At 37.1% G+C, this 23,354-nt stretch overlaps 1 pseudogene; it reads right to left on the minus strand.

Annotated features, from left to right (window-relative positions):
• Positions 2,010-2,549, minus strand: RPS18P12 (ribosomal protein S18 pseudogene 12; annotated as a pseudogene).

A 23,354-nucleotide genomic window follows, 5' to 3' on the forward strand; every position in this document is an offset into this window, starting at 1 on the left:
GCACATTAAAAAAAAATCTGCACTGGGAGACCATTGGTATCTTTAGTTTCTCTTACAGTCTTCATCCAAGAACGTGTGATTCTTTGTCTGAAGTGTATTTTCCAGAGCTCCTTTAGACCATTTTACTTTTTAATAACTATACAAAACCACAGACTGGTGGCCCATGGGCCAAATCAGAGTAGCACAGCTTTAAAAAATAACAATGATTTGGCTATCGTTAGGTAATACATACATGCTCTAGTTCACCCAGCCTTCACCACCTCCCGTTGCTTTGTACCCACTGTGTATCCCGATTCACACATGTGCATACCCAATCTGGAGACATTTGAGCTTGCAACCTCATTCTATTTTAATTTTCAAATTATTTTTTTTTTCAAGACTACATCTCACTATATTGCCCAGGCTGGCCATAAACTCCTGGGCTCAGGCAGTCCTTCTGTTTCAGCCTTCCAAGTGGCTGGGACTACAGGCCAGGCATGGGCCACCACACTCGGCTTGCAACCTCATTTTAGAGGCTCAGACTTGTTAAAAGACAAACTTCCGCCAAATTAAATGTAAAGGAGTTTAATTGAGCAATGAACAATTCACAAAATCGGGCATCCCCCGGAATCACAACAGATTCAGAGAGACTCCCGGGGTGCCTCGTGGTCAGAACAAATTTATAGACAAAAAAGTAAAGCGATGTGACCACGTGCGGTGGCTCACACCTGTAATCCCAGCACTTTGGGAGGCAAAGGCGGGTGGATTACCTGAGATCAGGAATTCGAAACCACCCTGGCCAACATGGCGAAACCTGTCTCTACTAAATATACAAAAATTAGCCAGGTGCTTGTTGGCTGGCGCCTGTAATCCCAGCTCCTCCAGAGGCTGAGGCACGAGAATAGCTTGAACCCGGGAGGCAGAGGTTGCAGTGAGCCGAGATCGTGACACTGCACTCCAGCCTGGGCAACAGAGCAAGAATCTGTCTCAAAAAAAAAGTAAAGTGAGGTACAAGAATCGGAGGTGAGTTACAGAACAGAGAACAGCTGGATTGGTTACAGGTCTGTGTTTGCCTTAATTGAACACGGTTTGAACACTCAGCAGTCTATGAGTGGTTGAAGTACAGCCGCTGAGATTGGCCAAGACTCAGCTGTTGTTACAGACACATACTCCAAAGTTAGGTTTTCAATCTTGTCTACCTCTTAAGTTAGGTTGCATTTCATCCACAAGGACTCAAATATAGAAGAACAGAGTCCTTCTCAGGCCATATTTAGTTTGAATTAACGGACTGAATTTTGCCCGTCTTTGTCTAGGAGCTGTCCTTGGTGTCCTCAGAGCCCAAAGCTTTCTTGCCTATGACTCTATAATTTTTAGACGTGTCAGTTAGTATCATTTGCTTTCTTCGGTGGTAGATATTTTTTTCTCGTTGATTTAAAATGACTCATTTTATCTATTAAAGCTATTAAGCTGTTGTTCATGTGGTAAAATTTTGCCCCTTGTTCAACATTTGCCACTCAATTACTTCTAAACTGCAAAAGTTATGTAGTTTCATTTAATTGTCAATTTTCTTTTATGGCTGTTGCTTTTTGTACCATGATAGTAAAGTGTAGACTTAAGAAAAAATGAACACATTAAAATTGGGACTGAAAATCCATTCTATTTACAGATTGATTTTAAGCAAATTATAAGAACACAGCATATTCATTAGTCTATGTACTTTTTAATTTTTGGTAGTCTCTATATATATACATTGGAGTACTTATTATAATAGAGTACTTTATGTATATTGTATTTTTAAAATCACCTTTCATTACTATAAAAGTAGATATGCATATTTTAGAAAATTATAAAGTACACAGAACAAACATAAGAATACAAAAACACATCTCACTACTCACAGGATACCTCTTTAACACTAATTTATACCTTGTGAGATCTTTTATAATGTTGCAGTGAAATGAGTTTATATTGAACATACTGCTTTGTAACTTTGCTGTTAATATTATTCATCTTTTCAATAATTTTTTTTTGGTATATAAACTATTTATTAACAAACAAGGCCTACAGACTTATTTCTTCTTGGACACACCTACGGTGCGGCCACAGCGGCCAGTGGTCTTGGTGTGCTGGCCTCGGACACGAAGGCCCCAGAAGTGACTCAGCCCTCTATGGGCCCGAATATTCTTCAGTCGCTCCAGGTCTTCACGGAGCTCGTTGTCCAGACCGTTGGCCAGGACCTGGTTATATTTTCCATCCTTTACATCCTTCTGTCTGTTCAAAAACCAGTCGGGGATCTTGTACTGGCGTGGATTCTGCATAATGGTGACCACACGTTCCACCTCATCCTCAATGAGCTCTCCCGCCCTCTTGGTGAGGTCAATGTCTGCTTTCCTCAATACCACATGAGCATATCTTCGGCCCACACCCTTAATGGCAGTGATGGCAAAGGCTATTTTCCACCGCCCATCGATGTTGGTGTTGAGTACTCGCAAAATATGCTGGAACTTTTCAGGGATCACTAGAGACATGGCAGCAGCACAAGCGGCGGCGTGTAGGCCTCCTGTGGAAGAATCTTTTCAATAATTTTTTAATCTCATCTAATGGTTAGACAATATTCAAAATCTCCTAATTGTCCCCAGAAGTCTTTTTAGCTGTGCTTTGGGGTTTTTTTTTTTTTGTTCTCCCCCCACCCCATATTATATGCAACCCAGGACTATGCATTGTGTCTGCTTGTTGTATTCCTTATGTCTCTTTGAAATAGCACTAGTTAAGTTTAGGAGATCAGGCCAATGATCCTCCAGAGTGTTTTTCCTTCTGTCATTTGTCACTTTCTCATTGTATCACTTAACTTGTTTCTATAGCTCATATATATCCAGTAAACTAGAGTTAGGTCTAAAGCTTGATGTATTCGAGTCAAATATCTTGACATGTAATATGATAATTCACAGAAGTGATGTGGTCTTCATGTTTATTTACATCAGAAGACACATGTTTTCTGGTTGTCCCACCATTCGTCCCACCAACCACTGGACTTGGGGACTTGAGTAATGCAATGCAAGTGTGATCCCCATGCACATTTTCCCCCTTGTGACTGTGTTGTGTTGTACGCTATCCAAAAATCCAGTTCCCCACCAATGATTGTCTCAACACTGGTTCATAATTCTTTCTCAATCTGGAATTTCATTAGGCTTTACAGAAGTGTGTCCTTTAATGCTATCAGTCCTCCCACATTTAATAAGCACACATCCTTCTATAGAGTTTACACACATTCATCAGGGTTATTCAGTTATCCTGACATAGATTTCTATTGTAAAGGCAAAATATATGCTTTGTTTCTCCCATTAGCAATCATCAAACCAAGGAGCTGGTGTGATACGAATTCATTTTATTTCAATTCACTACAACATTATTTTTTGATGTTATTTATTAATTAATACCTTTTGATTTATGTAGACAATGTACTAGGTGCTGCGAATACAGAGGACTCTACTTATGAAAAAGATATGCTTCAAAAGACTATTGTTAAACCCATTTGCTTGGAAGTCCAAAGTGTGATTATAAACACTATTGTCAACACTAGTAGGTAGAGTTGTTGAGAGTTTGTTCTTTTAGTCTCCGTGACATGAAAGCTTGTGTTCGAAATTCTTAAAAGAGGTACTTGCTTACAAAAATAAATAAAATATCACTTTGGGAGGCCGAGGCGGGCGGATCACTTTAGGTCAGGAGTTCAAGACCAGCCTGGCTAACATGGTGAAACCCTGTCTCTACTAAAAATACAAAAATTAGCCAGGCATGATGGTGCGTGCTTGTAATCTTAGCTACTCTCAAGGCCGAGGCAGGAGAATCACTTGAACCCAGGAGGCAGAGGTTGCAGTGAGCTAAGATTGCACCACTGCACTCCAACCTGGGTGACAGAGCCAGACTCTATCTCAAAAAATAAAATAAATAAATAAACTTGCTTTAATAAAATCACAGTCTGTCGGTGGAAAGTGAATAAATAAAATTACATCACAACATTACCTCTCCAGGAAAGAGCCTGAGGGATGATATGGAACTCAATGTATCTAACATTTAGCTGCAAAATTTATCAATACCTGACCAATGTTGTTTTATCTGTACCCCTATTCAATTTTCCATAGCCCCTGCATAATTTGAAGACATTAATCATTATTTTATATATTGATGTTTCAATACTTATCTCTAAAAGATAGTGACTTTTAAAAACATAATCATAATATCACTATCAAGCTAAAAATGCATAATAAATCCTTCATTTATCAAATACCTTATAGTGTTCCTATTTCTTCAGTTGTCTTATATAAATTGTTAAAGTTAAATTCACTGGAGTCTTAGTCCAAATAAGATTAAAACATTCCATTTGGTTGATATGTGTTCCCAAGTTCAACAACTCTTTTTCTAAATCTTTCTTTCTTTTTGAAAACTTCTATTGAAAGCACAAGGTTATTTGTCCCATAAAATTTCCCCTAGTCTGGATTTGATGATCTCATCTACATTGAATTTCCCATCATGTCACTTAACACAAGCCTGGTATTTTTCTGAAAATGAGAAGTTAGATCCAAAGGGATGAATCTAACCTGAATCCAAATATACATATTATATGTGTGTGTATGTATATATACATATATATATATACACATATATATATATATATATATGGTTAGCAAGAACACTTCGTAAGTAATGTCATTTACTTCCATCAGGAGACACATAAAATCTGGTTGTCTCTCTTTTGACAAAAATATGAGCCTTGATGATTATCACTTAGATCCATTAATTCATGAGTAGTTACAAACCAGTGATACTTGAATTGTATCATTCCTTCTTCATCCATTAGCTGGAATATTTCTTAAAAGATCACTGTTTCCTCATCGCTTACTTAATTACCCAGTGCTACAAATCATATAGAAAAGGCAAGAAAAATCCTGGATTGTTTTCTTTTAGTTGAAAACGTTCAAAATAATTGGGTATATTCGTAGAATATCCACAAGGTGACCAATTTCTTCAATATCATTATGAGCTCAACAGTTTAAATATATTTGACATGCTTCAAATCCATTAATGTTATTATTTTTTTGATGAACAAATTGTCCCATCTCTGTCCAGAGGGAGCCTCTTCAAGTTGGTTCCTGAATCCTTTTGACATGATGTTCAACTGAGGGCAAATCTACCTCCAAAGTCTGAGGAAGCTGAAAGGCTGAAGAAAGAGACTGACAAATTCAGTTTCTCAGAAAGAACCGTTAATAGGGGCTTAATGAACAGGAGCCATATCTTTGTCTTGGGCTGCGGCAAGACAAGATGGTGGATCCCTTCACACCATCAGTCTCCAGAGCCAGGGCTTATATACCACAGGAAATGGGTGATTCAGAAGGGATATGTGGGACATTTGAAGTATGGTAACATCAAGGTAGTTTGACCTAAGGGAAGGATTTGCAATAAATACAGCGGTCACCCAAGGAACACTAGATAAACTGAAAATCTTAGAGAGGTTCCGGGAACTGGGGTAAATCAGAAGCCAATATGGCAGATTCACATCCAAGATGGAGTTGCTTTAGCCTCCACACGTGACTGCAATTAAACTTTGTTAGTTTTCTTACTTTCTGCATTTACAAGATCCAACCTTGTACATTTCCTTCCTTAGACCTAGAATCAGCCATTTTTCCAAGGAGCCCTGGTTCTTTCTAGTGACAAATGTTATTTAGAAATTATAATGTGGGCTTTATGGACCCATGGGCTATTGAATTTTTAATTGTTTCTGATGTTTTGGATGGAAACTGATGTACATTTACTTTAAAAGCAGCCGTCCCAAATAACTATTTGTTTCATCAGATTCTCTTGAAATATTGAAGTAGATAACATAGTCTACACATTAAAGTTAGCTTAGCTTTCTCTCTTAAAATATTTGTTCCACTTTTTTATTTTTTATATTTTAGTATTTTGAAATGAGCTCTCAGGACAATGATAAACAGCAGTAGTGATAGCTGTTATTCTACTCTTCTTTCTACTATTAGTGGAAATATATTAGCTAGCTATATATTACCATTAAGGATGATATTTGCATTATTTTAAAATTAGTATCTTTTATATTATAGTTAATTTACCAAGGCTTTTAAAAAATAAATAATTTAAAAAATAAAGTTGGATACTTAATTGTACGAAAGCCATATTTTTAATTATTTTTTAATTTTATTTTATAATTGAAAACTTGGAAATAGATATTGAGGAAGGAATGATCATTCTTATAATTTTTCACCTTAATTATGTCAATGCATCTTGTTAGAAAAAAGTGTTCTGTTACTTCATAATTTGACCTTCCTTTGTGTGTGTGCCTGTAAATCACTGCTCATAAATACTACTGATTGAGCAAAACCTAATCTCTGCATGTTAAATAATATTATAATTCTTCTTGAAGTAACTTATTTGAATTTTTACTTAAAATTTTAAAAACGATTTCAACTTTTCTTTTAGATTCAGGAAACAAACATGTGCAGGTTTGTTATATAGGTATATTGTGGGATGCTGAGGTTTGGGGTACGACTGATCTTGTCACTCAGATAGTGAACATAGTACCTAATAGTTTTTCAACTCTTCCTTCCCTACCTTCCGTCTAGAGTAGTCCTCAGTGTCTATTGTTGCCATCTTTATGTCCATGAGTATCCAATGTTTCGCTCCTACTAATCTCAGAACATGCAGGATTTGGTTTTCTGTTCCTGTGTTAATTCACTTAGGATAATGAAAAGCCATTTTTAATACTTAAGATTTTAAGTGTTTCTCCTTTGACCTAATGACAACATGAGAAATATAAATGGATTTTCGAATATTGATCCATCATAGCATACCTGTGGTGAATTTACTTGGCCGTAATGTATCAGAATTGTATCATTATTCTTTTAATAAAGTACTAGTTTTTATTTGCTCATATTTTATTCATAACTTTCCAGTAATATGCATATTCATATAGAGTCTATTATTTTTCTTCTGTTAGTACGTCCTTTGTCCATCTATTCTCGTGAGCCAGGGCAGTTTAAATGGTATGGGAATTCTCTTTTTTTTTCACTTTGGAGGCTAATAATACTCTCCCAAAAAAACATCTGGGCCTGATGCTTTTTTAATTGCTGATTATCTGCAAGATTTGCTAAATTCTTTCACTACTAGTGGTGGACTCCAGTTTTCAATATCTTTTAGTTAATTTCTGTTATTTATATATTTCAGACATATTCTTCTTCTTTTTTTTTTTTTTTTTTTTTTGAGATAGAGTTTCACTCTTGTTTCCCAGGCTGGAGCACAGTGGTGTAATCTTGGCTCACTGCAACCTCTGCCTCCCAGGTTCAAGCGATTCTCTTGCCTCAACCTCCCAAGTAGCTGGGATTACAGGCATGTGCCACCACACACGGCTAATTTTGTATTTTTAGTAGAGATGAGGATTTCACCATGTTGGCCAGGCTGGTCTCAAACACCTGACCTCAAGTGATGCACCCACCTCAGCCTCCCAAAGTGTTGGGATTACAGGCATGAGCCACTGTGCCCGGCCCAGATATATTCTTTCTGCTGCTTGACAGTATGCTGTATTAAAAGATTTTTGCCTGTTAATTTTTATGTTTTAGAATTTTTTTGAGATTTTCTCTGTAATGTAATATATTAATTATTTTCATGATTGTTTGGTGAAGTGGGGGAAAGAATTGTATCCTCTTGAGCATAAAATCTGTTATAGAAACATTACTGGTAAAATAACTTTGTTAACTTATATTACTCAAATTATGTATATTATTACATATTTTTAGCTTAATGATCTAGTCGAATGATTTAGTGTAATAACATAGCTGTTTTGTCAGTATATCTTGGAATACCTAATAATCATTTTTATTTATATATATTTCCGTTCTGGGTCACTTAACCTATATAGGCTCATAACTATGATACCTTTATTGTGGATTATTCATTTCTTCCTGATTTTTAAACTCAATTTTGCCACAAATTTTGTTATTTTCGATGTTATTCGGTCAACTGAGTTTTCTTTTCTATTTTTTTCTCCTTCTTTCTTCCCCCCTCTTTTCCATACTCTTTTTCTTCCTTCTTTTCTTCTTCTTCTTCCCTCTCTGTCTTACAAAGTTTACATATGCAATCATTCTCATTTCCTGTTCTTCTAATTTTCTGTTTTTAACCCTATAATTTTGAAAGTAAGATTTGCTGAATTTTTTTCATCTCATATAAAAGTCTTTTATTTCAATATGAGTGTTTAAGTCATTGTTACGTAGTGCTATAAATGCCGTAATTTTCTTGTTATTTTATTTCGTGCTTTCAGTTTTTTATGTTTCTCTTTCTATGTTACTTCTTTCCTATGTACTTTTTTTCCTAGTGTAATTGCTTTTCAAAGAAAAATTTTGCAAATTAATTATTTGAAGAGATGTTAATGGATGCTCTGGCAAAAAAAATCACAACACTTTCTATGACTACACAAGACAGGGAAATATTTGGGCATTGTTTTGGGGATCCACAATGATTATTAAAATGGTTGTGTTTCTAAGAGTATCAGCAGCTAGGCAATCTCTTTGACTATGTTTAATCAGAGTTCACAATCTTATTTGAACACAGAACACATTTTTCATTATACCTCCAGCAATATTCTACAAAATCGTAGTTGTGGGATACTGGTTTGGGAAATGCTCTTCTAGTGATTAGGAATTCATAGAACCTACTTTATTGTATAATTGTTCACCTTGAACTGTTCTAATAATACTCATTGAACCTATTTTTCCAACCCCACTTTTGAGCTGATCTCCTGTTTTTTGTGTCCCTTCGACTAAACTCTTCAACTAGTAACTCGGATTTACTGCTGTTCATGACCTGGTATCATGGTGTAATTCTATTACCGTTATAGTTTTTGCCAGCTGAGACATTTTATTAGCAAATGATTAAATTGAGCTATTGGAAGAGAAATTTATAGTGACAACTATAGCTTGGCCTCAGGTAGATACTCAAATTGCTATGAGTAGGAAAGGAACATCTAATGGATGGTAAAAGAGAAACAGATGATCTCAAGTCCACATGAAGATGGGCTTGAGATTATCACACAAGACAGGAGATTGGCTTTAAAAGGAGCAGTATCATCACATTAAACTAGCATTCTTCCAAGGCACTCAAAGAACTTCAAAAGCTCCATGACCAAATTATTTTATGAGAACCCCAAGTGAACACATTTGGCTTTGAAACAACCATCAGTGATTTGATGGTTTACTAATTTTCAAAGAAATTACAATACAATACAATACAATACAATACAATACAATACAATACAATACAATACAATACAATACAATACAATACAATTTGCAGGATAGTCTGTGAGATGAAACTGGTTAAGGATTAAGAAGAACAGGGTTCTAGTGACAACTCTTTGGATAAGCTGTTTTGTTTCTCTCAACTTCAGTCACTGCAGCTGCAGAATGAAAGCAGAGAAGTAACTGAAGTAATTCAATGATTCTTACTTCTTACAACCTCAGAAAGTCTACAAATCGATGAATATAAGTTTTGGAGTGTTACTATTACAAACAGTGTCTTAATAAACACCCTTAAACATGTCTCCATGTGTGTTTTAGTGTTTCTCTTGGAAAGTGTTGATTGCGCCTCTTTAGAAAATTGTGAAATAAATGTAGTCACCACCAACATATTTTAAGAAAGATGATTGAGCAATACAAAAAATACAACTGTATTACATAGAGTTAAGGATAATGAATGTTTCATGAAATTAAGTTTTGTTTTATTTATAAGGGCATATGTACATATATATGTACTGAGTTGTTTTTTAAGAGGTATTTTCTACTGTGAGTTATTTAAAGACAGTTTGAAATACACTCTACTGACAGTAATTATCTAAGATGAACTTGATGAGTCATATGCTTTCTTCATATTTAACTTCATTAGGTATGGCAAAATTTCCTCCATAGTTGGCAGTATCAACTTACACTCTCATCATCTGAATTTGAGAGCCTGGATCTTCTCTAAAATTCGGATGGATCATCTTTTTCCATGCTAAAGGGCGTAAAACACTACACCATTTCCATTTTCATTTCCCTGATTGCTAGTGAAGGTGAGTAACTTCTCACCACTCTGCTGGTCATTGAGTCTCCTATTCATTGATTTGTTTATAGTTTTTGCCAACTTTTGCAATTTTTTGTTCATTTCTGATTGACTTATAGGAGTTTAAAAATATATTCCAGATACTCCATGAGTTATATCCACTGCTAATCTTTTTCAAGTCTGTTGTATTAAGATATACAAGGTTTTATGATGGCTTGCAGTTCAGAAACTTTAAAATTTAATGTGAACAAATTTGTCAATCTTTTCTTTATAAGCACAACTTATAAGTTGTGCTTTTTGAGTCATGTTTAAGAAATTCTTCCCCATTCCAAGTTCATAAAAACATACTTCTATACATTATTCTAAAAGTTTTAAAGTTTTGCTTTTCAGATTTATCTTTATTCTACCTGGAGAGGATGTTTTGTGTGTTGTGTGAGGCAGGGATATGCTTTTTTCAAAATGAATAACCAATTTTCTCAATGCCATTTATTGAATAATTTATTATTTATGCAATTATAAAGTGACTTTTCTCATACACCATGTTCCCAGGTAAAGGTAGGTCTGTTTGTCATACAAAGCCTGGTGCCTTACATATTTGACCATACTTATTGTTAGACTTTTTCTAACTCCTTGAAATAGTTTAGAGAAAATAATTTTGCAGAGAACTGTGGCCTTGTACTAATATTTGAGGGTTTAAATTAGCAAGAAACAGGAAATGTAGGTTACATGTATTAAATAAACAGTAAAAGATAATAGTGCCTTTTATACAGAAGGTATTTTGTTATGAATTAGTAATAAAGATGTAAATATGATGGTTAACCTTGAAAAATAAGAAAGATCTTCAAGTAAATGATGGTCTGGTATAGTATTTCTCAACCTTATCAGACCTAACACCTTTTTGACAACTTTTTGTAATCACCCCATAACGATCCTGAATTTTATTTTATTTACAAGCTAATGTAACCCACCTGCTCACATACCATAAAATCAATAAAACTTTTTGTAACATAAATGAAAAAAAGATGCATAAGTAAACAATCTGTATTTCAATATGTATTTCATAACTTTACTAAAATAGTCAAATACTTATCCTATATGTAGAATCACCTCAAATGTGACAGCTACTGTTGTAGGCTCATCTTATTTTATTTTTCCTTAACCCAATCACCACAGGAAGTATTGCTGCTGAAATTGTGAATAATTAACTATGTTTTAAACAAAACAAAACTCAATTTCCTCTTGATTTATATAGTGGTTGCTTTCCTAGAAAATTCAATATATATAAATGTGTTTAAAAAGTACTTAATGTACAATGCGAAGTTACAGTCTAGGCTCAGAAGAGTATCAATTGGGTTTTTAAATGGATAAATATCCAGCTGAGCATTCCAAGCCAAATGAGATGAGGAGCTAGTCTTTTTTTGTTGGCTTGTCCCTTGCATTGCAGTATGTCCAGCCTCCCTGGTTCTCACCCACTATATGCCAGCAGCACCTTTGAATCACTACAACCACCAAAAAAGGCCTCCTCTCCACCAGCAAATTCCTGAAATGGCACCTCAGAAGATGGGACTATCCGTATTGAATGACACTGGTCTAGAAGTAGGAGATTCTAAATCTAATCAGGTAAGGGCAAACAAACATCCAAAGTGCCGAATAAATGCATACGCAGGGTGCATGGGGTACAAGAGAGAAGTGACTGGCACCCCCAGGATGGGGTGAGATGTGGCTGGCCATGGTAGTGCTGACAGACGACAGGAATTAAGACAGGAATGATAAATAGATGTTACTCAACTGGCTGAGTCTAAAGAGTTGGGTGAAATGCATTTCTCAAAGAAAGCCTCTCCTTCTTTGGTGTTGGAAAGTGACTGTGATGCAAGTCACAAACAATGAAGAAAATTATATACACAGAAATGTCACCAAAACCAGACTCAACACATCCCTTTCCCTTCTAGAATTCAGAAAATCTTTGTCTTAAGTAGGTTACAGATGCGGACAGAAAAGATTCACAACTTCGTTAAGCTTGAGGAAACAATCTTTTTTTCTTCTGTGAAACTCATACACCAAGATACTCCTAAGTTTCCTTCATCTGAGGCACTTGCCTAGCTCCATTACCTTCAAAACTAACTAGTAGCTTTACCTCAACTATCTTTTAGGAATCTGCTTTGGAAACACATCTGTCCTTTGAAATGATATCTACAAAAGGAAAGAGAAAAAATACATTTAAATTTTTGAAGGAGTCTACTCCCTATATGACTCTTTAAAGATCATTTTTCCCCTGATACATTTATTGTAGCATCAATAGGAAAGTGAAGGAAGATAAGCATATGGAAGACTAGCTGAATTATCATGTAGAATATTCTCTGTATAGATTTATTAGTATAACTAGGAATTTCACAGCTGGAATAAAGTGTAGCAAGTAATACACTTTATTCTCCTCTATAGAGATAACAGTAAACTAAAATGATCCCAGATGAAATATGTTTTACTTGGAAAAATTTTATCACTAAACAAGGCAATTCTTGCCAGTATCTAACTGCTCAAACATAATGTTTCTGATGATAACTCCATTTACAATTTTTTTCTGCCATTGCTTCATATCAATTCTGGATTCCATTCAACCCAGGGCCATGAATAAGAACAGCATGTCTTCAAGGCTGGCCCTGTGCCTAGTATAATGAATTTTTGCTGAAGTATAGGATGAATGAATAAATTATTGAATCCACCAAATGGCAAGGATGTGTACATTCTGTTAGTTTATTGGGCTGTTGTTATTTCAGCACACCATTTTGTCCAGACTCCAAACTTCACCATCTAAATCCACAAGGAAAACCAATTGAGACCTTAAAGCAAGAAGCTCTCAAGCTAAGAGGAACTTGGAAGTGAGCCTAAAATACAACTGATGGATTCTGGTTTTCTGTTTTCAATTGATCACAACACTCACACTCAACATTTTCATCCCTGTTTTTCTCCAGCACATCCATTATCTTTACCTATCTGAGAGGACTCCCATAATGATAAAATCAACTAAAGTAGTTCAAACTATTTCTAAAACTGTAAAGTACAGCTATTCTAGTGTTTAGTGTGTGACATGCACAAGATTATATGTTTACAATATGAACATGAATAGGACTTAATTTCCATCCTAAAAGAGCTGGCAATCTAGTGAAAATACCACCATATAAAAATTTACTGTAATTGTAGGACAGAAATAAGGCTTATTAAGAGACTCTTGTAAAGGTACTGGCTTACTAAGTTTTGTGTTACTATAACAGAATACCTTAGACTGGTCAGTTTATAAAGAACAGAAATTTATTTCTCACAGTTCTGTAGGCTGGGAATTCCAAGATCAAGGTGCTGGTGTCTGATGAGGGACTTCTTGCTGTGTTCTCACATGGTAGACGGGCAAGAGAGATAAACTCCCTCTGTGAAGCCTTTGTATAAGAGCACTAACCCCCTCCATGAAGGAGGACCCCTTAATCTAATCACCCCTCAAAGGTCCCACCCCTTAATGCTGTCACATTGGAAACACCTGAATTTTGGAGGGCACATTCAAACTGCAGCAGACTGTAGTCTACCCACTCCCACGACGTAATGTATCATAATACGTGGGGACATAGTACAAGATGCTCAAAGAATTTGATGATATTTGCTAGTGGAAATAAATGATGCAGAGAATTACCCATAGTTTTACTGCATTTTAATATACAATGAACTCTGAAGAATATACTCTAGGCTCAAAAATCAAGTTCTATTCTCCTCACAAAGGAATTAGTGGAACCCATCACAAGCTAACTAAGCCAATGGCTTGTGTTGATCTGGTTTGATTTTGTCCTCCTTGTCTTTCCCCTTCTTGTCTGGATTGTGCTAGAATGTGACTTCTTGCTAGTGGGCCCTAGCTTTAATCCCTGCTTACTGATTTACTAAAAATACAGGGTCTTTACCAATTAATTTATTTCAAAGTCTTTGTTTCACTTCAATACCTTCAGCAAATATTACCTAGGACTTTTCACTTCTGCATAATCGGAATACTGCCAGCTTGTATTTGGGACCTTTTTGAATAACTCCGTTTTGATAAATATGCTTTTAAATAATTCTTTGTTGATGGGATGGGTATTTAACTGAACGCAAATAGAGAAAGTGCTAGCTCAGAGAGTGTGGTTTCCAGTGTCAAGAGAAAGAAAATGCCATAAAGATGTTGAGAATTCTGTCTGAAAATTGTTTATTTCTTATACTAAATATCTTTTGGAAATAATCATTTCCCCTCTCCTACCTCCATAATCTACAGTTATTTCGCCCACAAATGTATAGACCGATGTTCTCCTCTGATAGAGACAGAGACTGAGGTGGCTACTGTTGGGGCTTGGGGCTGGAAGGTTTTGTAGATTAGGGGTTGAGGCTGCTGTTTGTGGGGCCATGATCCTAGCTGCATACACATAGATGACTGAGAAGTGGATCTAGTGTGCAAAGGGAAAAGAATGGCATTAGATGCAAGTGAAAAACATGGAAGTTGCCTGAGGAGTTCCCTTTCTAGTCCCATATTTTCTGTGGTTGTTTGCTGTGAGATTTTCCTTATTCCTTATGCTGTAAGATTATGACTTACACATACAAACGACTTGTGCAGAATAAAAGTGACTTTAATTTTTTTGCTGAATAACTCACATGGTCTTCCCAACAGCCCGCACTCCACTGAGTATTTCTTCAAAGTTTGAATACTATCTTCTTACAACAGCCTGTGTCCTATTTTGTCTTCTTTTGTTTTTAGGTTTTAAGGTAACCGCTCTGTTTTTTCAGGGCCCTGTGTCCCCTCCCACTTTTTCTCCCAGAGATGGCATTCTGAGTATATGAAGAAAATTACTGCATCCTGACAGCAGATGAACATTATTGCATCCTCACTGCAAGGTTGGTGGCTTCAGCTGTGCAGAGGTGAGTTTCAGATACGTCTTATCAGTTGTGGTGCCATCTGGTCCTCGTGACCTCTGTAGTAATGGTGTCCCTTGTATGCCTGTGGCTTCTGATGTTTGCAGCTGGTAAAATTGTGGTCTATTTGGTATCATTTCCAACCCCATCTGAGGTTTATTTTGCAGACGGATAAGCGAAGAATTACATTTTCTAAAACCCTCTTTCCCATAATGGTCCCTGGTTCCACTAATTCCTTTGTGAGGAGAATAGAACTTGATTTTTGAGCCTAGAGTCTGTTAATGAGAGACACTCATGGAGATTTGGAAGGTGGATGAGGACAGCCATTACTTTCCTGAGGCAGTTACAGCCAGATATGTGGGCAGATGTAAGATACACAATGCCCTCTTGGTATGCTCTTGAAATCCGCTACATTGATGTTTCAGGCTAAAGTCACTGGAGATGGTCTTAGTCAGCCTGAGCTGCTGTATGGGTGGTTTAAACAATAGATATTTATTTCTCACAGTTCTAGAGGCTGGGAAGTCTAAGATTAAGGTGATGGCAGATTTAGTTCCTGAGATTTCTGGTGAGCAGCCTCTTCCTAGCTTGCAAATGACCACCTTCTCCCTGTGTCTTCACATGCCAAAGGGTGCCCTCTGATGTCTCTTTCATTTTTCATAAGGGTACTACCGATTGTGGGGTCCCACCCTCACAACCTCATCTAAACCTAACCACCTCCCAAAGGTCCCACCTCCAAATACCATCACACTGGGGATTAGGGCTTCAATGTATGAATTTGTTGGGGAGAAATCAACATCCAGTCCGTAACAGAGGTGTGTTCTCTTCCCTCCGCACTCCCAGGTATTCCAAAGACTAAGACCCAACATCTTTATCTAAAGACTTCCAATACTCAAAAATACATAAAGTGGCTTCTGTTTTCTTGACCTAAGGCTGACTAATTAATACAGGTAGTCTCTTCCGAGAGATCCAATGGGAAACTGGGTAAAGACTATTCTGTTTTTGGTTTTATTTCCCTTCCTACATATCTCCTCCCTCTACCTGGCGTTTTGCTCAGGAGGATGAAGCCGGGTCATACATTTTGCCATTTCTCTATTTTATGTCCTTCCTCCTTCCCTCACTATATGATTGAAAAGAGTATGCTTCTATAATATTTACTACACATAATGCTATGTAATCATAGTATATTGCCTTGCTCAATATTAGAAGGCACATAAATAGTCAACAGAATAGTCAAGAGATCTAACTACAAATAACTACACTGGGAAGGTGGGAGAAGAGGTGAGAAATAAAGGAGAGTGAAATTCTCAGCTATCATGACAGAGAGTAATGTTTAAATTGACAGATCAATAAAGGGTAATATGAACATGCTATTTAGAAATGTAGGATTTACTACCAGGATCGACTAAGAGAGTTTAAAGTGATTGACTTTGGGGATGAAGACTAAGAGACAAGGAGAGATTGGGACAGAGTGTGGTTATTTTTTATTTTAAGCTTTTTGGTAAAATTTTACTTTTAGTCATGTATATATATTGCCTCAATTAAAATATATATCTTTTAATAAAAAGCACCAGGCAGTGCACGATGGTAGAAAGAAGAAAGCATAGCAACGTTATTGGAGAAATCTGAGTCTAAATGCAGGTGGCGATCAGCAGCCAATCCCAGGGAATCAGCAGAGAAGGTGAGATGGCACCAATCCTCCCAAACACACAGGTGAACGTGCACAAACAATAAGACTAAAGCAAACAGTATTTCCTCCAAGGTGCTCCTGGCAGCCTGCAGAGCTTGAAGAGTTGATTTACGACCTCAGGAAAGAAAGCTTTCTTCTCCTTGTTTTGTTTCCTTTCTCTCAGATAATCTATGTAGACATCATGTTGTAACATAAAGATGGACTGGAGAGGGAAGAGGCCATCCATGGAAAGCTCAGGTTGGTGAAATTGTCTAGACAGGGATGGGGAGCATCTGAACCAAGGGGCAGTGGCATCAGCAGGGTCTCAGCACTGATTGACTGTGGGCAGGCAGAGTCACAGGTGCTGGTGAGGTGGGCGGAGGGAGCAGGGAGGGAAGTGCCATTCCAGAGGGGCAAGACTTGGTGGCAACAGGCAAGATGTTGGAGGTAAGGATTACAAGTGACTGCATCATGACTCAATACCTTGAATAACTGCTTGGTAGACCTCAGAAGGGAAAATTGGCAAATGTGTGAATTTGCTGAGGCTGCCACAATGAAGTACCATAGACGGGGTGGCTTAAACAACAGAAATTTATTTTCTCATGGTTCTGGAGGCTAGAAGTTCACGATCAAGGTGTCAGAAATATTAGTTTCTTTCTTCTGACACCTCTCTACTTGGCTTGTAGATGACAGTCTTCCTCTAGTGTCTTCATATGGTATTCCCTCTGCATATGTGCATGCGTGCATGTATGTGCTTGTGTGTGTGTGTGTGTGTGTGTGTGTGTGTGTATTTTAATCTCCTCCTTTTATAAGGACACCCATGATATTGGATTAGAGCCCACCCTAATAACTTCATATTAACTTAATTACCTCTTAAAAGGCCCCATCTCCACAGGCAGTCACATTCTGAAGTTACTAGGGCTTAGGACTTCAACATGTAAATTTTGGGGAGAAACAATTCAGCCCATTACAAGCCTGATGCCATGTATGATACGACATGAGATTTTCTCTCCTCCAGCTTCCAAACCTATACACATACTAATGCATCTGTCTTTTTAGTTCCTGTCTGTGTTCCTCAGCCCTAATTCTTTGAAACACACCCTTCCACCATCCCATTACTAGGCTTATTTTTTGCACATAAAATGTCTTCAAAGATGCAACATTACAATTCATACTACACAGTTATTATTAATTGTGCACTTTCAGAGAACTTTCCCTGAAATAAAATTCATTTGTGATATAAAAATAATAAAATAATCCTATTCTACATGTCTTAATTAAAAATAAAAATATGTGCAACATCATATACACCATGGAATACTATGCAGCCATAAAAAAGGATGAGTTCATGTCCTTTGTAGGGACATGGATGAAGCTGGAAACCATCATTCTCAGCAAACTATCTCAAAGACAAAAAAACAAACACTGCATATTCTCACTCATAGGTGGAAACTGGACAATGAGAACACTTGGACACAGGAAGGGGAACATCACAGACCGGGGCCTGTCGTGGGGTCGGGGGAGGGGGAGGGATAGCATTAGGAGATATACCTAATGTAAATAAGGAGTTAATGTGTGCAGCACACCAACATGGCACATGTATACGTATGTAACAAACCTGCACGTTGCGCACATGTACCCTAAAACTTAAAGTATAATTTAAAAAAATGTGCAACATGATTATCTCAATAGATGCAGAAAAGGCTTTCAAGAAAATTCAACATCCCTTCATGTTAAAAACGCTCAATAAACTAGGTATTGAAGGAACATACCTCAAAATAATAAGAGCCATCTATGACAAACCCATAGCCAACATCATACTGAATAGGCAAAAGCTGGAAGCATCCCCCTTGAAAACCAGCACAACACAAGGATTCCCTCTCTCACCACATAGTACTGAAAGTCCTGGCCACAGCAATTAGGCCAAAGAAAGAAAGAAAGTGCATCCAAATAGGAAGAGAGAAAGTCAAACTATCCCTTTTTGCAGACAACATGATTTGATGTCCAGAAAACCCCATAGTCTTGACCCAAAAGCTCCTTCAGCTGATAAACAACTTAAGCAAAGTTTTAGGATACAAAATTTACTAGCATTCCTATACAGCAACAATAGCCAAGCTGAGAGCCAGATCAGGAATGCAACCCCATTCACAATTGTCACAAAAATAATAAAATACCTAGGTGTATTCCTAGGTATTCCTAATTAGGGAGGTGAAAAATCTGTACAATGAGAATTACAAAACACTGCTCAAAGAAATCAGAGATGACATAAACAAACGGAAAAACATTCCATGCTCATGGATAGGAAGAATAAATATCATTAAAATGGCCATATTGCCCAAAGCAATTTACAGATTCAATGCTATTCCTCGTATCAAACTACCAATGATATTCTTCACAGAACTAGAAAAAAAGTTTAATTCATATGGAGCCAAAAAAGACCCCAAAATAGCCAAGGCAATCCGAAGCAAAAAGAACAAAAATGGAGGCATCATGTTACCTGACTTCAACCTGTACTACAGGGCTGCAGTAACCAAAACGCATGGTACTGATACAAAAACAGACACATAAGCTAATGGAACAGAATGGAGAGCCCAGAAATAAGGCTACACACCTACAACTATCTGATCTTCAACAAAGCTGACAAAACAAGTAATGGGGAAAGGACTTCCTATTCAATAAATTGTGCTGGGATGGCTGTTTAGCCATATGCAGAAGATTGAAGATGGACCCCTTCCTTGCACTATATACAAAAATCAACTCAAGATGGATTGAAGACTTAAATCCATAAAGTGTCAACCTAAAGCCCCAAGACCATAAAACCCAAAACTATAAAAACCTGGAAAACCACCTAGGAAATACCATTCTGGACATAGGAACTGGCAAAACTTTCATGATGAGGATGCCAAAAGCAATTGCAACAGAAGCAAAAATTGACAAATGGAATCTAATTAAACTACAGAGCTCTGAAACTATGAAGAGAGTAAAGAATGGGAGAAAGTATTTGTGAACTATGCATCTAATGAAGGCCTAATATCCAGCGTCTATACGGAACTTAAACAAATTTACCAGAAACAAACAAATAACCCCATTAAAAAGTGGGCAAAGGACGTGAACAGACACTTTTCAAAAGAACATAACACATAGATGTGGCCAAGAGGCATATAAAAAAGCTCAGCTGGGCATGGTGCCTCGTGCCTGTAATCCCAGCACTTTGGGAGGCCGAGGTGGGTGGATCACTTGAAGTCAGGAGTTCAAGACCAGTCTGGCCAACAGGATGAAACTCTCTCTCTACTAAAAATACTAAAATTAGTTAGGCATGATGGCACACTCCTATAATACCAGCTACTCGGGAAGCTGAGGCATGAGAATCACTTGAATCCAGGAGGCAGATGTTGCAGTGAGCTGAGATTACACCACTGCCTGCCAGCCCAGGTGACAGAGCAAGACTCTGTCTCAAATTTAAAGAAAAAAAAAAAGGAACACAAATCAAAACCACAATGAGATGCCATCTTACACTTCTCAGAATGGCTATTAATAAAAAGTAAAAAAAAAAAAACAGATGCTGGCGAGGCTGTGAAGAAAAGGGAACATTTATACACTGTTGGTTGGAGTATAAATTAGTTCAGCCATTGTGGAAAGCGGTGTGTTGATTCCTCAAAGAGCTAAAAGCAGAACTGTCACTTGACCCAGCAATCCCATTACTGGGTATATACCCAAAGGAATAGAAATCATTCTGTCATAAAGACTCATTCATGTGTGTGTATGTTCATTTCAGCACTATTCACAATTGCAAAGACATGGAATCAACTTAAAGGCCCATTGATGATAGAATGGATAAAGAAAATGTGGTACATCTACTCCATGGAATACTATGCAGCCATAAAAAATGAGATCATGTCCTTTGCAGAAACATGGGTGAAATTGGAGGCCATCTTCCTTAGCAAGCTAACAAAGGACCAGAAAACCAAATATTGCATCTTCTCACTTATAAGTGGGAGCTAAATGATAAGAACACATGGACACAAAGAAGGGAACAACAGATGCGGGGGCCTACTTGAGGGTAGAGGGTGAGAGGAGGGAGAGGATTAGACAAAATGACTATTGGGTACTGGACTTAGTACCTGGATGAGGAAATATTCTGTATGACAAACCCCTGTGACACAAGTTTACCTATGTAACAAACCTAAGCATGTACCTCCAAACCTAAAATAAAGGTGAAAAAAAATATTCAATTTCTAAACATAGAAAGAATAAAGAATCTTACACATCTTTATATTTTCAGAATTAGTGCTTGTGCTCATGGAATTTCTCATCACCAATTTGGGTGGTCATTTAAGTCCTAAGTGTTAACGGGTCCACCTCAAAACCCAGTGGGAGATAAAGACCAGTGACATAGGCTTTGACTATATGGACATCGGAAGGCTGCCTGTTCAGTCTGTGCTCTTCACAGAAAAACATCACAGCAAATTTGCTTTAAATAATGTGCTACACAAGATTCAAGACATACCTGGTACATTGAATGCTTTAAGAATATTTAGCTCATGAGTATATTTTGAGTATATTTTGTTCTATGCATTTTTGTATCCACTGGAAGTAAATCTTTAACATAAAGAAAACAAAGTTTCCTAAAATGATTACCATCTGTTTTGACCTATATTGTTTCCAGAAGTATAATGCAGGCATGTGTTAAAGCTACCTCGTGATAGCATGAGGGTTAGGGTGAGGGTCACAACACTTAATATGGGTTGTCACCAGGAAGCTGCTTCTCCCCATCAGAACTGTAGTGTCCTTCTCTCTACGGTGTGTTGTCAGACAACATCTAGGTCAAACAAAGTCACTCTGCAACCTACCTTGCTCCTGATACCCTGTGAAATGTCCACAAAAGTCATGCATAATAATGATCCTGGAATTTGTATCTATTTAAATTAGTACAAAGGTGATAAAAAGCACTATTTATTTATTTATTTATTTATTTTTCAGGAAAAAAATGCATGAAACCCAATGGAGGGAAGGTGAGGATATGATTCTGCCTTCTACCCTAGGCCACAATGCCAAATGGATCAGAAGAGCAGCATGAAAATGGTACTTTAGAACCTTGAAAACAAAATCTGAGCAAAAGCCAGGATCTTTTCAGACTTTGCAAAAATTAAATTTTTTGTTATCTTTTGTTGATGTTGGTTGGTCAAACTTTTGACAGGTGGAGAGAGCACATCTTTTTTAAATGACTCAATATTTTGGATTTGGAAGAAGTAAGCACCAATGAGATGAGTTTTGTCTTACGATGACTTGGCATTTACTGTAATTCTTAGGTGACATTTTGGAATACAAACTTTTGAGGGTCTTCCCGGGACTTCAGTTTTTCAATAAGATGGTCCTTTGCTTCCTCCCCTGGGCAGGGTCACATTTTATCTTAGAAAACTCTTTCAGGAAGTTAAATCCATCTCCAGGGTCTTTGATTTTAAGCAACATAAATATATCCAACCTTTCTTAAAAGGAGATCAACTATACGGAAATGGGAATTGTACTGCCCGTGAGTGCGGAATATGCCCTCCGAAGTCACAGGCTCGGAACAAGAGTCTGAGGGTAAACTAGAAATTTGCCTCTCTCAGCTCCTCTGTCCACAAAGCTTGAGCCCTGTGTCCTCGTGGTCTCCTCATGGATACTTCAAAAGTTGTCACTGAAAAGTCATTCACAAGCATGATTCCAAAGAATTCCATGGCTGCAAAAAATAGTGACTCCCTCACCAGATTGTCATAGGGACAAAAGGAGTTGGCTTGTCATCCCAACAGTCAACACATCATTGAAGCAAAACCAGATTTTAAAGAAGCAAATGACAAGTGAAAACAAGATCAAGAAGCTCTGCTGAACCAATAGGAAATTGCTTCTAAAGGCTTTTCAAATCAGATATAACAACACTTGAATTTTATCACTGTCTACCTGCCTGGACCAGCTGGCAGGCTGGCTACAAATAGGCGAAGGCATGCTGGAGAAAGGAAAAAGATAAGAGTAACCCACAAGCTTACAAAACTGCGCCCTATCTACATGGTAATTAAAAACTGTACGTTTTGATGGCAGATTTCTGGATGACAGCATTGCAAAAAGTAAATGATCCAAATGTGCACACTTTCCAGCAGAATTCCAGATTTGGAACTTGATCCAAAGGAAATAAATAGAGAAGTGAGTAAATATTTAGCTGAAATAATTTACACCGCAGCATTCTTTATGAGTAAAAAAATTGAAAGCAATTTAAATGACCCTCAGCATAGGCTAAACACGGAATGGGTAAATTCCATGTAGCCATTAAAAATGATGCTGGAGAAATATTTCCTTCACATGAACAGATGTTCGCAATGTCTATTAAGTGAAAAAAATAAGTTATAAAATAACATGTTCAATGTGATTCCATTCTTGTCTGAAAATATATGTGCAATTGTATATGCAGAGGGAAAAATACCTTGGAGGTAAGTGGTCACATTGTTTATATCTGGATGGTGGAATACAGGGACTTTACTACTTTCTTATTTGTGTTTACTACTTTTTTTTTTTTTGTAATGAGCTTGTAAAACTGTAAGAAGGTTAAATGAAAAAGGAATGCAGTGAAACTTCTTATAAGTAAAAGAATCCTTTCACAATGCAAATAATTATACCCTCCCTTTCTTCAGGTGGGCATTGGCACCTGTTCCTTCCGAGGTTCTCTTGC

This window comes from Homo sapiens, chromosome 17 (assembly GCF_000001405.40).
Source record: "Homo sapiens chromosome 17, GRCh38.p14 Primary Assembly".
In the NCBI taxonomy this organism is placed as follows: domain Eukaryota; kingdom Metazoa; phylum Chordata; class Mammalia; order Primates; family Hominidae; genus Homo; species Homo sapiens.